The sequence below is a fragment of the Homo sapiens genome, chromosome 4, assembly GCF_000001405.40.
Source record: "Homo sapiens chromosome 4, GRCh38.p14 Primary Assembly".
Classification (NCBI taxonomy): domain Eukaryota; kingdom Metazoa; phylum Chordata; class Mammalia; order Primates; family Hominidae; genus Homo; species Homo sapiens.
The window spans coordinates 17,156,683-17,170,794 of record NC_000004.12 but is presented as its reverse complement, the minus strand read 5'-3'; the positions used below and the strand labels follow the sequence as shown (position 1 = coordinate 17,170,794).

Below are 14,112 nucleotides of genomic sequence, written 5' to 3'. Positions count from 1 at the left end.
AACGGAAAATGACCCAAATCTAAGAATACATGAAACAATGAGAAGTTGCACAGTGAGCTCCAGGGATCTACCTGTCACTTGCCACCTATATTCCCATTTTTAATCAAAGGTCTTTGTTAATCATATCTGGACAGGTTATAAGTCACTATATCTTAAGAGATTTCAACTCAATATTGAGCTCAAAGTTGATTTATTTACATTAGGCAGAAAGGAAACATGATTGTTTTTACTTGTGAAATGCATTGGCTTCACTTTAAAGCTGCCCAAAGCCCTGAAAGCAGAGAGAGAAAGAGAGAGAGAGATCCCTGCCCTTCCTGAGGTTAGAATTTTAGACTTGTCTTTGGAAGTGCAGTACTTGTTATAAAATTTTCTTAACCTGTCTCCCACCCACATCTTCGACAATTTAACAAATTCCCTTTAAATAGGCTGCCATTTTGCACTGTTGCCATCTACTTGTCAAGTTTTAAGCTACTCTTTTGCATAAGATGATGTTAATGAGCAGGGAAATCCCATTACTTAAATTTAGTGAAACTTTAGCTCACTCAAGGGGCCTCTTTGGTAAGTTTTTCTCTTTAAGAGATGATGTGAAAATGTCTATTTAAAATAAGGTTAAGAGCATTACTGCAGTAATTTTTACTTTTAAAAACGGGTACCTTTGGAAACACATTTATATCAAGAATGTTCAAGAATTGCAGAAAACAGCTGCACACAATCTTGACAAAAATAGCTTTAGCTTTCTATAATTTTTGCACTGTTTAAGGACTGCACTAAAGGAATTTGAAATCAAGATGATTGACATTATGCTTTTCTTTAATGCTGCAGACATGGGCTTTAAAAAAAAAAGTACTCTGCACGCAAAACCTAATTGCTCTCTGCTTCTGCAAAGGGTTCCCTTCAATATAATTGCATTTTCCTGATATAACTGATTAAAATAAATTAAATGAGCCACTCACTTATTCTTCCAGTTTGCAAACTTTGAAATTTTTAACAGGGTTTTTATACAGGCATACATTGTGCAACTCTACAAACTATTTAGTAAAGTGTATTATAAGTACACTTTTGAAAACCTAGATAACAAGTTCTTAATAAAAAGAAAAGATGACACAATGTCTAGCCCAGGGGCCATCAAGTAAATCTCTTCTGATGCCTTTTCAAGACAGCCGGTTCTTACCAGCTTTGTCTAGGCCCTCTGTAAGATGGGAGCTGCCTTCGGTGAAATTTATATTTCTTCTGATTTGTTTGCATCACCATTTGGTAAATGTTGATGAAGGAGAGGCAAAGTTCTTGGGCTGGGCTTCCATTTCCATGTTCTTTCATGATCCTTAGCTTTACTATTAAAAAAAAAAGTATCTGTATCTATAGTATGTGTGTATATTACATTATTAATTATATTATGTATATGTGTATGTTTTACAAAGATGGGCTTGTTTCAAGACTTTTTATAAGTCCCAACTAAGCTTTCTTGTGATTTATGCATTTATGAACACATGTATTATTTTAGTGGTAAATCGATGTCATTTACACTACAGAAAATATATCAGAGTTTATAAATATGTTGCAAAATAATAGCTACTTGGCTTAAAGTAACTTATTGAGTATGTGGCAGTTGTTAAAAGAAAGAGTTCATGCATTGATCAATGGAACGACTGCAGAGTGACCATAAACCAAAATGGGAAGGGAGAATAGAAAGAATAGAAATCGTGGTAGAAGACAGAGTGGCAGACGAAATATTGGAAATAATCTACTCATTTTCAGTTTTCTTTCTAAATAACATCATATCTCACTGTGTCTTTTGTCACCAGGTGTTATAAACCTTAAATATGTGTGTGTGTGTGTTTTTTTTTTTCTCTGAGAAATTTTGAGGGAGTTAAGGAGACCGAGCTCCTCAAGTCTTTAAACATTCTGGTCAGGTTTCCTCCAGGGGCTTGCTGCTGGAAGAATGTCTTATGGGTAAATTTCCACTCTCAGCAGGGAGTGTTTTGCATGAACTGACTCCCAGGAGAATATGTTATTTTATTCCATACAACAAAGCCCAGGCAGTGACTCATATTAAACTGACCAGGATGGGGGAGGGGAAACATTGACCTGGAGGGAGTTGAGGGGAGGGTAGAGGACACAATTTACTTTCTAAAAACTGACTACAGCTCTCTGGGAAATGAAAAAGCTCTGAGGTTTCTGTGTTTCCTTGTGATGTCTTTGTATAAAAAGTATTTGCAATGTGTCATAAGGATTTTCTAAGACAAAATGAAGATTCTCAGTCAAGGGAAGAAAACCCAAGACTTTCTTAGACAAAAAGTAAGGAAACTGTCTTTCTCACCTACAGTTGTTAGTTATAATATCAGCTATAATTGATAGGATGGATATGGCTAATTTAATAAAGCCAGTTACTGCTCAGCACAAGAAACAAGACTCATAAAGATACTGATTTTAAAGGAAAGCCATTTCTTGCCTGGATTTGCATGTTTCAATGCGACACAACGTAAACATGGATTCTTCTCACAATAGCTAAAACAACTTGAATCTCAAATACCTTTCCTTTTTAAAAAGGTTAGAGACTCACCAACTGTTACTGCCCTGATGTTTTCTATTGTTAGAGGGCTGCTTCTTGATAAAATGATACAGCTGTGCAATTCGATCCTTTTAATTATCTTTTTTATTATTACAACATGCACCAGGGTCCTAAACTTCTGAGGATTTATTGATAAGGGCGTCTTCCACTTGTACTGCCCCATTTTATTGCTGTTTTTATAATGGTTTCTAACTAATAAAATGTTATCTTATTCATTTTGTTTATGTGTAATAAATCAGAAGCCTTTCCCCTTCTTCGGCTAGGCAGATATGGGTGTGCATGGGTAGGGGAGATTGTCTCAATATGTTAAACCAATGATGTGTTTTGCATACAAATAGAAACTAGTACAAGAGCATTTCATTAAGGAAAGTATCGCTGTTTCTGCATGACCTAGGGAAAATTAATATTCTAAATACAAAATCATGTGACTTGGGGTTTTGCCTCTTTCCAGCAATCAAAGCCGTGAAAAGCTGTCTGGAATAAAGCTTAGGTTTCTTCTTCATTCCTATGAGCCATATTATTTCCTTGTTGAAGAAAAGATACAATGGAAAAAATAGTGTGTGCAGTTTTTAGGCAGCTTTATATTCTGGATGTTATATTCATTCAACAGATATTTATTAAACCCTTGAGATGTGTCAGACACTGTGGTAGGTACAGGAGTGAACAAGAGACATGGTTCCTGCCCCCAGACAGCTTATATTTTTATGGGGGGAAACAGATACCAAACAAATGATTATGTCAATGAATATGTAATTTCAATTGTGATAAGGGTTGGGAAGGAAAAGCTCAAGAAATTGAGACAGTATATTGCATTAGGATTCATTCACTCATTCAGATGACTTTTCATTTTCTTGCTTTATTCAAAGACAAGGAAGGCACCACTGCAGCCTGGTGAGGGAGGCTTGCCCTTGCAGACTGTCTCCTGGGGGCCCCTGAGACACTGGGTAGCAGTTCACCCAAAGGAGTAGGCAGGACGTGGTGCTGAGAGGAGGAGCTGCCATGTTATCTGAGAGCTGAAAAGTTTTCCGGGCACAAGACCACATGGGCAAAGGCAAGGGGAAGGGCAGGGCATGCTTTCAGAGGAGAGTGAATAGTTCTAGGAAACCAGGGGAGGAGACCTGCAAGGTTTGGAAGTAAGCCTGGAAAATCAGGCTGAAGGCAAGTGGTGAAGAACGTTGTGTGCTTTGCTGACGCATTCAGACTTCATTCTGAGAGCTGCGGGGGCCTGTAGGAATTTAAAGAGGGAGGTCATAGTGGACATATTCAGTTACCGATAGAGCATCCATCTGTCCATTTCCCCTTCCTGAGAGTAGTTCCACTTATTTTCAGGTAGCTACCCATCTCCCAATAGCCCATATGCTCCAGGGGAAGTTGAACCAACCTCCAGCTGCAGGGCTTGACCCTATTAAGAATCATCAGAACCCTCTTAATACTATTTAATAGCCCTCTTAATACTTCTCTGGACCTGATTGGACTGGCCATTTTGGCCGAGGCCAATCAGCTCATGACTTCACTTTGGCTACAGGACCCAATTTAGGAATAAGTATATGACCAATTCCTGGCAGTTAGATGCAAAGGGGGGATCTGTGGGAAAATTCTGGGAAAGCAATTTCTTTTCTCTTAACAGAGCCATTGAACAAGATGCCTTTTCTTCTTATGAAAGCCAAGGGGTACAGATGTGGAGCCCAGATTGCTATAGCCAGCATGCTGTCTGGTTGCCGACCTCAAGCTGAAGCTCTCACCCCCAGTAAAGTACAGTCTGCATGGTTTTGTATGCCCCTTACTCACATGTGATCCTAGGTAGGATACACAGTGGAGATTAATCATTGTAAGTACCTCACAGGAGGTTTGGCAGGGTGCGTGGCTCATAGTAAGTGCATAATAAATGTTAATTATTTTTATTCATTTATTAAATACTTACTGAGAGTCTGCTATGTCCAGGCACCATGCTAAGTACTAAGGATAGACAGTAAGCAAGAAAGACACAATCCTTGCCCTCAGGGTATGACTTATCTTTTATTTGTCACTTGCAGGGATTTTGTCATTCTCCATATTGCAGTTAGTGACCGATGTGTACTTTACTCATGTTTATATCCACCCATGGTGCTTAAGATGGTGGCTTATAGGTGGTGGAAACTCACTGAATGTCTACTGAAAGGAAATGCCAAAATAAACATGCATCATATGCCTTGTAAGTGCAAACCCTGAGCCAACCCACAGTGGCAATACTCATGGAGAGACTGTGTAGTTCAGTGGTTAGAGGAACTGGTGTTTGTTTCAGAAAGGCTTTCCTTTAAATTCTGGCTCTGATGCTCAATAGCTCTGTGACCCTGAGCATGTTACTCTTTCCTTGTCCTTAATATGATAATACCTGTCTCATTAGGGGTGCTATGAGGGATTAAATGAGATGGAAATTATATATATTATATACTATACATAGTGTATTGCCTAGAAGTACGCAATATATTATATATTGCACATAGTGCATTGCCTGGAAGAAAGTCACCTCAATAAATTACAGTTCTTTGTTATTTGGGTATTTCACTGACATGAAATATTCACTTTGTATTCATTTGGGTATTTTATTTTAACAAACTTTAGTCATTTTGATTCCCCAGCTTCTGGATACTTTCCTATTTGAGCAGAAGCCCAAGGAGGGGGCAAGTATTTCCTGTCTCTACTGGCTAACAGCTAGATCCAGGGCCAAAACTTGAGTGTGAGTAAGAAGAAGCTTCTGTCTAGGACTTTGAATAATGAGAGAATGATGTGAAGAGACATTATCCATGGCATCTGTGCTGGACTCAGGAGATCACTGGTGTAGAGTGAATGTCCAGGGCAAATGAGTCTAGCAGCATGGAATGGGTTGGGAGGGAGCACATGGCCGGTAGTGATGGGGCAGGATCCTGGCTCTGCTCACAGACTCTTGAGCCTAGTTCCTCTGCCTTCAGATCCATTCCTTGAACATCCCAACACCATTTATTCATTCCCTTCCTGTGTAAATCAACCAGAGTTGCTTTCTGTTGTTTGCCACCAATGACCTTAGTTGCATTTGTGATTGCATAAATGCATCTAACATTTGCATTCTATGAAATGTGAGAACTTCTAAACCAGAAATTCAAATTTTGTACTTTTATGGCATTAATGGAATACCTCATGAGTTACTGAAGGTTATTTGTGTTATTAAAAAGTAAACTTGAAAAAAAATCAATATGAAATCTTCTCACTAAACCATTAAAAGCCAGATACCCAGCAGTGAGGCTACCATATAGAAATAACCTTATTTTATATTTCTTGAGCTTGGCTAAAATCCAGACATGACGCTGCTCAGATAATGTTATTTTCAATGTGTCATCTTATTCGTGGCAATCTTCACTGTATGTGTAACTCAAGAAAATATTGACTACAAGCCAATCCATGGGCCAAAGCCTTAAATCTAAACTCTGTCCCAACTTTTTACTTTAGCTTACTTTTAACTTTTGAAATGTAGTCTTTGTAATAGGCATTGTCTCAGTTTTAGAGGAGGGGGTCTTCTGTCAACAATATTTAGATCAGTTGTAGTTAAAACTTTTTTTTTTCCTATCTGGAATGTGATTTTAATAGAAGATTCTATTTGAATAAACCCAGAGTCCAGAGGCTACATGGTTTTTATGCTACTGCTCTCAGGGAAGATTGGAGGCTTCCATTGCTCATCATCTCTTCTGTGATAAACAATATACAGAGCAAGATAGAAACAGTGATGAATTCATGGACAAAAACAAATTAAACAAATTTGAGACGAGAAAAAGGGGAATCATGGCAGACAAGGGGCAGGACTAGATTGCAGCTCTGACTCAGATGGACAGAGCAGTGTATGGAGGCTCGCATCATGAATTTTAGCTACAGAACGACTGCAGGAATAAACTAGGAAACCCGAGGGGGCCACAGACCCTCCGAAGGAAGCAGATTGCTCCTGCAGGACCCAGGAGATACCCCAAATATGCTGAGTGCCCAAACTGCAGGAGTGGGGAAGGGAGATTGTTTACCTCTAAACACACATCCCCACTGGGGAAACTGAAGGTCTAGATTACGGGAGAAGATTTTGGCTTTATCTGGAGCTCAGCCAATTTAGAGAGCCAAGCGAGGTACAGAAGTAGAGGAAGCAGTGGAAAAGGCCCTGTGAGCTCGCTGGGTCCCCAAGCTGGTCATTCCTACCTGGCTTCACAGGAATCCTTTGGGAGGGCTGCCAGAGGCACTGGGAAAAGGCCACAGGGAGAAGGAAATTTCCAGCTGAACATTGTAACAATTTGAACTGATCAAGAAGCCTCCTGGTCAGAACTTGGGGAAGGGTGTGAATCCAGTGTGCAGATTCCACTGACTGGGGAAGAAGGAAATCCATACTTGCTTTCGCAGCTGGGAGGCAGGTAGCCTGGGGCAAGTTCTTAGCCCTGCTCACCCACTGCCTGGAAACAGGATTGGTGCTGTTGGGAGTAAGACTGGCACTCTGGGTTGTACAGGAGCTGGGTGAGGTCTGTAACTGCTGGCTATCCCCCACTTCCCTGACAACCTGCATGACACAGTAGAGATAGCCACAGTCCTCCTAGGAACATAACTCTGTTGATCTGGGAACCTCACCCCCATCCCCTACAGCAGCTGCAGCAAGACCCACCCAAGGAGAGTGTGAGCTCAGACATGCCTAGGCCTGCCCCCACCCAATGGTCCTTTCGTACTCATCCTGGTAACTAAGACAAAGGGCATATACTCTTGGAAGTTCTAGGGCCCCACCCACCATGTTTTTCTCCATACTACCACAGCTGATGCTCTCTGGAAAACGCCACCTCCCGGCAGGAAGCCAATCAGCACAAAAATAGTGCATTAAACCACCAAAGCTAAGAACCCACACAGAGTCCATTTGACCACCCTGCCACCCACACTGGAACAGGTGCTGGTATCCATGGCTGAGAGACCCACAGATGGTTCACATCACAGGACTCTGTGCAGACAGCCCCCAGTAGTAGCCCAGAGCCTGGTAGACTCCCTGGGTGGCTAGATCCAGAAGAAAGATAACAATCACTACAGCTCAGCTCCCAGGAAGCACATTCATAGGAAAAGGGGGAGAGTACTACATCAAGGAACACCCCATGGGACAAAAGAATCTGAACAACAGCCTTCAGCCCTAGACCTTCCCTCTGACAGAGCCTACCCAAATGAGAAGGAACCAGAAAACCAACTCTGGTAATGTGACAAAACAGGGCTTTTAACCCCTCCCCCCACCCCAAAAAAATCACACTAGCTCACCAGCAGTGGATCCTAACCAAGAAAAAATCCCTGATTTACCTGAAAAAGAATTCAGGAGGTTAGTTATTAAGATAATCAGGGAGGCACCAGAGAAAGGTGAAGCCCAATGTAAAGAAATCAAGAAAATGATACGAGGTGAAGGGAGAAATATTCAATGAAATAGATAACATAAATAAAAAACAATCAAAACTTCAGGAAATAATGGACACACAGAAATGGAAAATGCTCTGGAAAGTCTCAGCAATAGAACTGAACAAGTAGAAGAAAGAAATTCATAGCTTAAAGACAAGGTCTTTGAATTAACCCAATCTAACAAAAACAAGGAAAAAAGAAAAAGAAAATGTGAACAAATCCTCCAAGAAATCTGGGATTATGTTAAATGACCAAACCTAGGAATAATTGGTGTTCCTGAGGAAGAAGAGAAATCTAAAAGTTTGGAAAACATATTTAGGGGAATAATTGAGGAAAACTTCCTTGGCCTTGCTAGACACCTAGGCATGCAAATAAAGAAGCACAAAGAACACCTGGGAAATTCGTTGCAAAAAGATCATCACCTAGGCACATTGTCATCAGGTTATCTAAAGTTAAGATGAAGGAAAGAATCTTAAGAGGCAAAGGCACCAGGTAACCTATAAAGGAAAACCTTTCAGATTATCACAGATTTCTCAGCAGATGCCCTATAAACTAGAAGAGATTGTGACCCTACCTTCTGCTTCCTCAAACAAAACAATTATCAGCCAAGAATTTTGTATCCAGCAAAACTAAGCTTCATATATGAAGGAAACATACAGTCGTTTTCAGACAAACAAATGCTGAGAGAATTCGCCACTACAAAGCCGCCACTGCAAGGACTGCTAAAAGGGGCTCTATATCTTGAAACAAATCCTGGAAGCATATCACAACAGAACCTCTTTAAAGCATAAATCTCACAGGACTTTTACAACAAAAATACAATTTAAAAAACAAAAACAAAAAATGACAGGCAACAGATAGCACTATGAGTGGAATGGTATCTCATATCTCAATACTAACATTGAATATAAATGGCCTAAATGCTCCGCTTAAAAGATACAGAACTGCAGAATGGATAAGAATTAACCAACCAACTATCTGCTGCCTTCAAGAGACTCACCTAACACATAATGACTCACATAAACCTAAGGTAAAGGGGTGGAAAAAGACATTTCATGCAAGTGAACACCAAAAGTGAGCAGGAATAGCTATTTTTATATCAGACAAAACAAACTGTAAAGCAACACCAGTTTAAAAAGACAAAGAGGGACATTATTGGTAAAAGGCCTTGTCCAACAGGAAAATATCACAATCCTAAACATATTTGCATCTACACTGAAGCTCTCAAATTTATAAAACAATTGCTAATAGACTTGAGAAATGAGATAGACAGCAACATAGTAATAATGGGGACTTAAATACTCCACTGACAGCACTGGACAGGTCATCAAGACAGAAAGTCAACAAAGAAACAATAGATTTAAACTATACCCTGGGACAAATGGACTTAACAGATATATACAGAACATTCCATCAAACAACTGCAGAATATACATTCTATTCAATGGCACATGGAATTTTCCCCAAGATAGACCATGTAATAGACCACAAAATGAGCCTCAATAAATGTAAGATAGTTGGAATTGTATCAAGTACTCTCTCAGACCACAGTGGAATAAAAAAGGAAATCAACTCCAAAAAAAACCTTCAAAACCATGCAAATACATGAAAATTAAACAACCTGCTCCTGAATGAGCATTGGGTCAAAAATGAAGTCAAGATGGAAATAAAAAAATTATTTGAACTGAATAGCAATAGTGATAAAACCTATCAAAACCCCTGGGACACAGCAAAAGTGATGCTAATGGAGAGTGCATAGCCCTAAACGCCTACATCAAAAAGACTGAAAGAGCACAAACAGACAATCTAAGGTCACACCTCAAGGAACTAGAGAAACATGAACAAACCAAACCCAAACCCAGCAGAAGAAAGGAAATAACCAAGATCAAAGCAGAACTAAATGAAATTGAAACAAAAAAATACAAAAGATAAATGAAACAAAAAGCTGGTTCTTTGAAAAGATAAATAAAACTGATAGACCGTTAGCAAGATTAACCAAGAAAACAAGAGAGAAAATCCAGATAAGCTCAATAAGAAACAAAACAGGAGATATTACAACTGATACCACAAAAATATGAAAGATCATGCAAGATTACTATGAACACCTTTACATGCATAAACTAGAAAAACCTAGAAGAGATGGATAAATTCCTGGAAAAATACAACCCAACCCTCCTAGCTTAAATCAGAAAGAATTAGATACCCTGAACAGACCAATAACAAGCAGTGAGATTGTAATGGTAATTTAAAAACTACCAACCAAAAAAAAAAAAATCCAGGACCAGATGGATTCATAGCAGAATTCTACTAGACATTCAAAGAAGTATTGGTGCCAATGCTATTGACACTATTTCATGAGATAGAGAAAGAGGGAACCGTCCCTAAATCATTCTATGAAGCCAGTATCACCCCTATACCAAAACTAAGAAAGGACATAACCAAAAAAAGAAAACTACAGACCAATATTCCCAATGAACATAGATGCTAAACTCCTTAAACAAATACTAGCTGACTGAATCCAACAACATATCAAAAAGATAATCAACCATGTTCAAATGGGTTTCATACCAGGGATGGTTAAACATATGCAAGTCAATAAGTGTGATACACCACATAAACAGAATTAAAAACAAAAATCACATGATCACCTCAATAGATGGAGAAAAAGCATTCAACAAAATTCAGCATCCCTTTATGATTAAAACTCTCAGCAAAATTGGCATACAAGGGACACACTTCAATGTAATAAAAGCCATCTATGACAAACCCACAGCCAGCATAATACTGAATGGGGAAAAGTTGAAAGTGTTCCCTCTAAGAACTGGAAAAAGACAAGGATGCTCACTCTCACCACTCCTCTTCAACATAGTACTAGAAGTCCTATCCAGAGCAATCAGACAAGAGAAAGAAATAAAGGGCATCCAAATTGGTAGAGGAAGTCAAATTGTCATTGTTTGCTGATGATATGATCCTCTACCTCAAAAACCCTAAAGACTCCTCCAGAAAGCCCCTAGAACTGATAAAAGAATTCAGCAAAATTTCTGGATACAAAATTAATGTACACAAATCAGTACCTCTTCTATGCACCAAGAACAACCAAGCAGAGAATCAAATCAAGAATTCAATCCCTCGTAAAATAGCTGCAAAAAATAAAATAAAATACAATACTTAGAAATATACCTAACCAAGGGGGTGGAAGACCTCTACAAGGAAAACTACAAAACACTGCTGAGAGAAATCCTAGATGAACAAACAAACGGAAACACATCCCATGCTCATGGAAGGGTAGAATCAATATTGTGAAAATGACCATACTGCCAAAAGAAATCTACAAATTCAACACAATTCCCATCAAAATACCACTATCATTCTTCACAGAATTAGAAAAAACAATTCTAAAATTCATATGGAATCTAAAAAGAGCCTGCATAGCCAAAGCAAGACTAAGCTAAAAGAACAAATCTGGAGGCATCATATTACCTGATTTCAAACTATACTATAAGGCCATAGTCAACAAAATAGCATGGTACTGGAATAAAAATATGCACATTGACCAATGGAGCAGAGTAGAGAACCCAGAAATAAACCCAAATACTTACAGCCAACTGATCTTTGACAAAGCAAACAAAAACGTAAGTGGGGAAAGGGCACTCTTTTCAACAAATAGTGCTGGGATAATTGGCTAGCTGCATGTAGGAGAATAAAACTGGATCCTCATTTCTCACCTTATGTAAAAATCAACTCGAGATAGATTACGGACTTAAATCTAAGACCTGAAACTATAAAAACTCTAGAAGATAACATTGGAAAAACCCTTCTAGAAATTGGCTTAGGTAAGGATTTCTTGACTGAGAACCCAAAAGCAAATACAATAAAACAAATATAAATAGCTGGGACTTAATTAAACTAAAGAGCTTTTGCGCAGCAAAAGGAACAGTCAGCAGAGTAAACAGACAACACACAGAGTGGGAGAAAATCTTCATAATCTATACATGGGACAAAGGACTAACATCCAGAATCTACAATGAACTCAAACAAATCAGCAAGAAAAAAACAAACAATTACATCAAAAAGTGGGCTAAGGACATGAATAGACAATTCTCAAAAGAAGATATCCAAATGGCCAACAAACATATGAAAAAATGCTCAACATCACTAATGATCAGGGAAATGCAAATCAAAGCCACAATGTAATACCACATAACTCCTACAAGAATGGCCATAATTTAAAAAAATCAAAAAACAGTAGATGTTGGCATGGATGCGGTGATCAGGGAACGCTTCTATACTGCTGGTGGGAATGTAAACTAGTGCAACCGCTATGGAAAACAGTGTGGAGATTCCTTAAAGAACTAAAAGTAGAACTACCATTTGATCCAGCAATCTCACTACTGGGTATCTACACAGAGGAAAAGAAGTCATTATATGAAAAAGACACTTGCATATGCATGTTTATAGCAGCACAATTTGCAATTGCAAAAACGTGGAATAAACTCAAATGCCCATCAAGTGGATAAAGAAACAGTATATATACGATTTCTGTATGTATTACACTTATGGTGTATATATACACATATATATACTCTGTGTGTGCGTGTATGTATATGTATATATATATGACGGACTAGTGCTCAGCCATAAAAAGGAATGAATTAATGGCATGCACAGTGACCTGGATGAAATTGGAGATTATTATTCTAAGTAGAGTAACTCAGGAATGGAAAGCCAAACATTGTATGTTCTCACTGATATGTGGGAACTAAGCTATGAGGACGCAAAGGCATAAGAATGATACAATGGACTTTGGAGACTTGGGAGAAAAGGGTGGAAGGGGGGTGTGGGATAAAAACCTACAAATAGGGTGCAATGTGTACTGCTCAGGTGATGGGTGCACCAAAATCTCACAAATCACCACTAAAGAACTTATGTAACCAAACACCACCTGTTCCCCAATAACCTATGGAAATTAAAAAAAATTATAAATGGAGATAAAAAATAAACACGGAAAAGGTGCAGTAAAAATATGGTATTATAATCTTATGGGACCCCTGCTGTATATGTGGTCTTCATTGACATTAATGTTGTTATGTAGAGAGTGACTGTATATGGAATAACTCATGAGGCTAACATTAGAAACCATTTGAAAAATAAAGTAATAAAAAACTCCTAAAAAATAAATAAATTCGAGGGACATTAGAGATGATCTAGTCTAGAGAAATCAAACAGCCTTTATTATGCATGCCAATTTTAATCATGGGTGGGGTTGCATGGAGTGCTGTTGAGAATATTTATGAAATTGCATCCAAATTCGGTGGGAAAGAGTACTGTAATCAACGAGTAATGTCTGTCATAGGAGGGCAGAGTCATGGTACATATGTCAATTATTTGTTCTCTGATCTAGTCCAAAACCTTCATCTCACGAATGAGGAACAAAACTCCAGAAAGGGGAGGAGCCTCTCCATGACTTGTTAGTTTATGATGTTCCTTTTCACAGATAAATGCTTCAGTTCTCCAATGATTCTTTATGGAATGTGATTTTAAGACCCTGGCCACACTTTGTTCTGTATACATTTCAGTTTGTTATGTGAGAACAGCAAGGGGTCCTGAGAGGCATTGGCTGTGGATTCCAGACATAGCTAGGTTTGAATCCTAGCTCATCTACTCCCCAACATTTCTGAAACTTAGCTGCCTCATCTTAAAACAAGATTGGTAATTATTTTATATCTATAGGGTTGTGACAATCCATTTATTCATTTCACAAATATTTCTTGTGCACTTGCTATGTGTCAATGCACTAGGGCTATAACAGTGAACAAAATAGGCAAAATCCTTTACCATCCCGAAACTAACTTTCTACTGGGTTAAATGAGATTTTATGTGTGTCTGTGTGTGTCTATTAACAAGTATCTGACACTTGGTGGCTACCCACTAATCACTGGTTCCCTTTCATCGCTTGCTGGCCCTGAACTCTACATACTTCTCTATGTCTGATGAGGGCAGAGCAGCTGGGCCTGATAATAACCTTCCTTTGTTAGGGACATGTACTAAATTTGGCTAAGAGCAACCTTAATTCACAGGAACTCTTGGGAGATAGTTCTTTTGCTCTGTGGGTCCTTTCCTAGCCTGAGTAGGGTATA

At 38.7% G+C, this 14,112-nt stretch overlaps 1 annotated feature.

Moving 5' to 3' along the window:
- Positions 7,184–7,685: an enhancer, noted in NCBI's record as "H3K27ac hESC enhancer chr4:17164733-17165234 (GRCh37/hg19 assembly coordinates)". NCBI's record gives its function as "activates a minimal SCP1, AML or CMV promoter by ChIP-STARR-seq in primed H9 embryonic stem cells {active_cell/tissue: H9 hESC(primed)}" and the evidence as "EXISTENCE:reporter gene assay evidence [ECO:0000049][PMID:30033119]".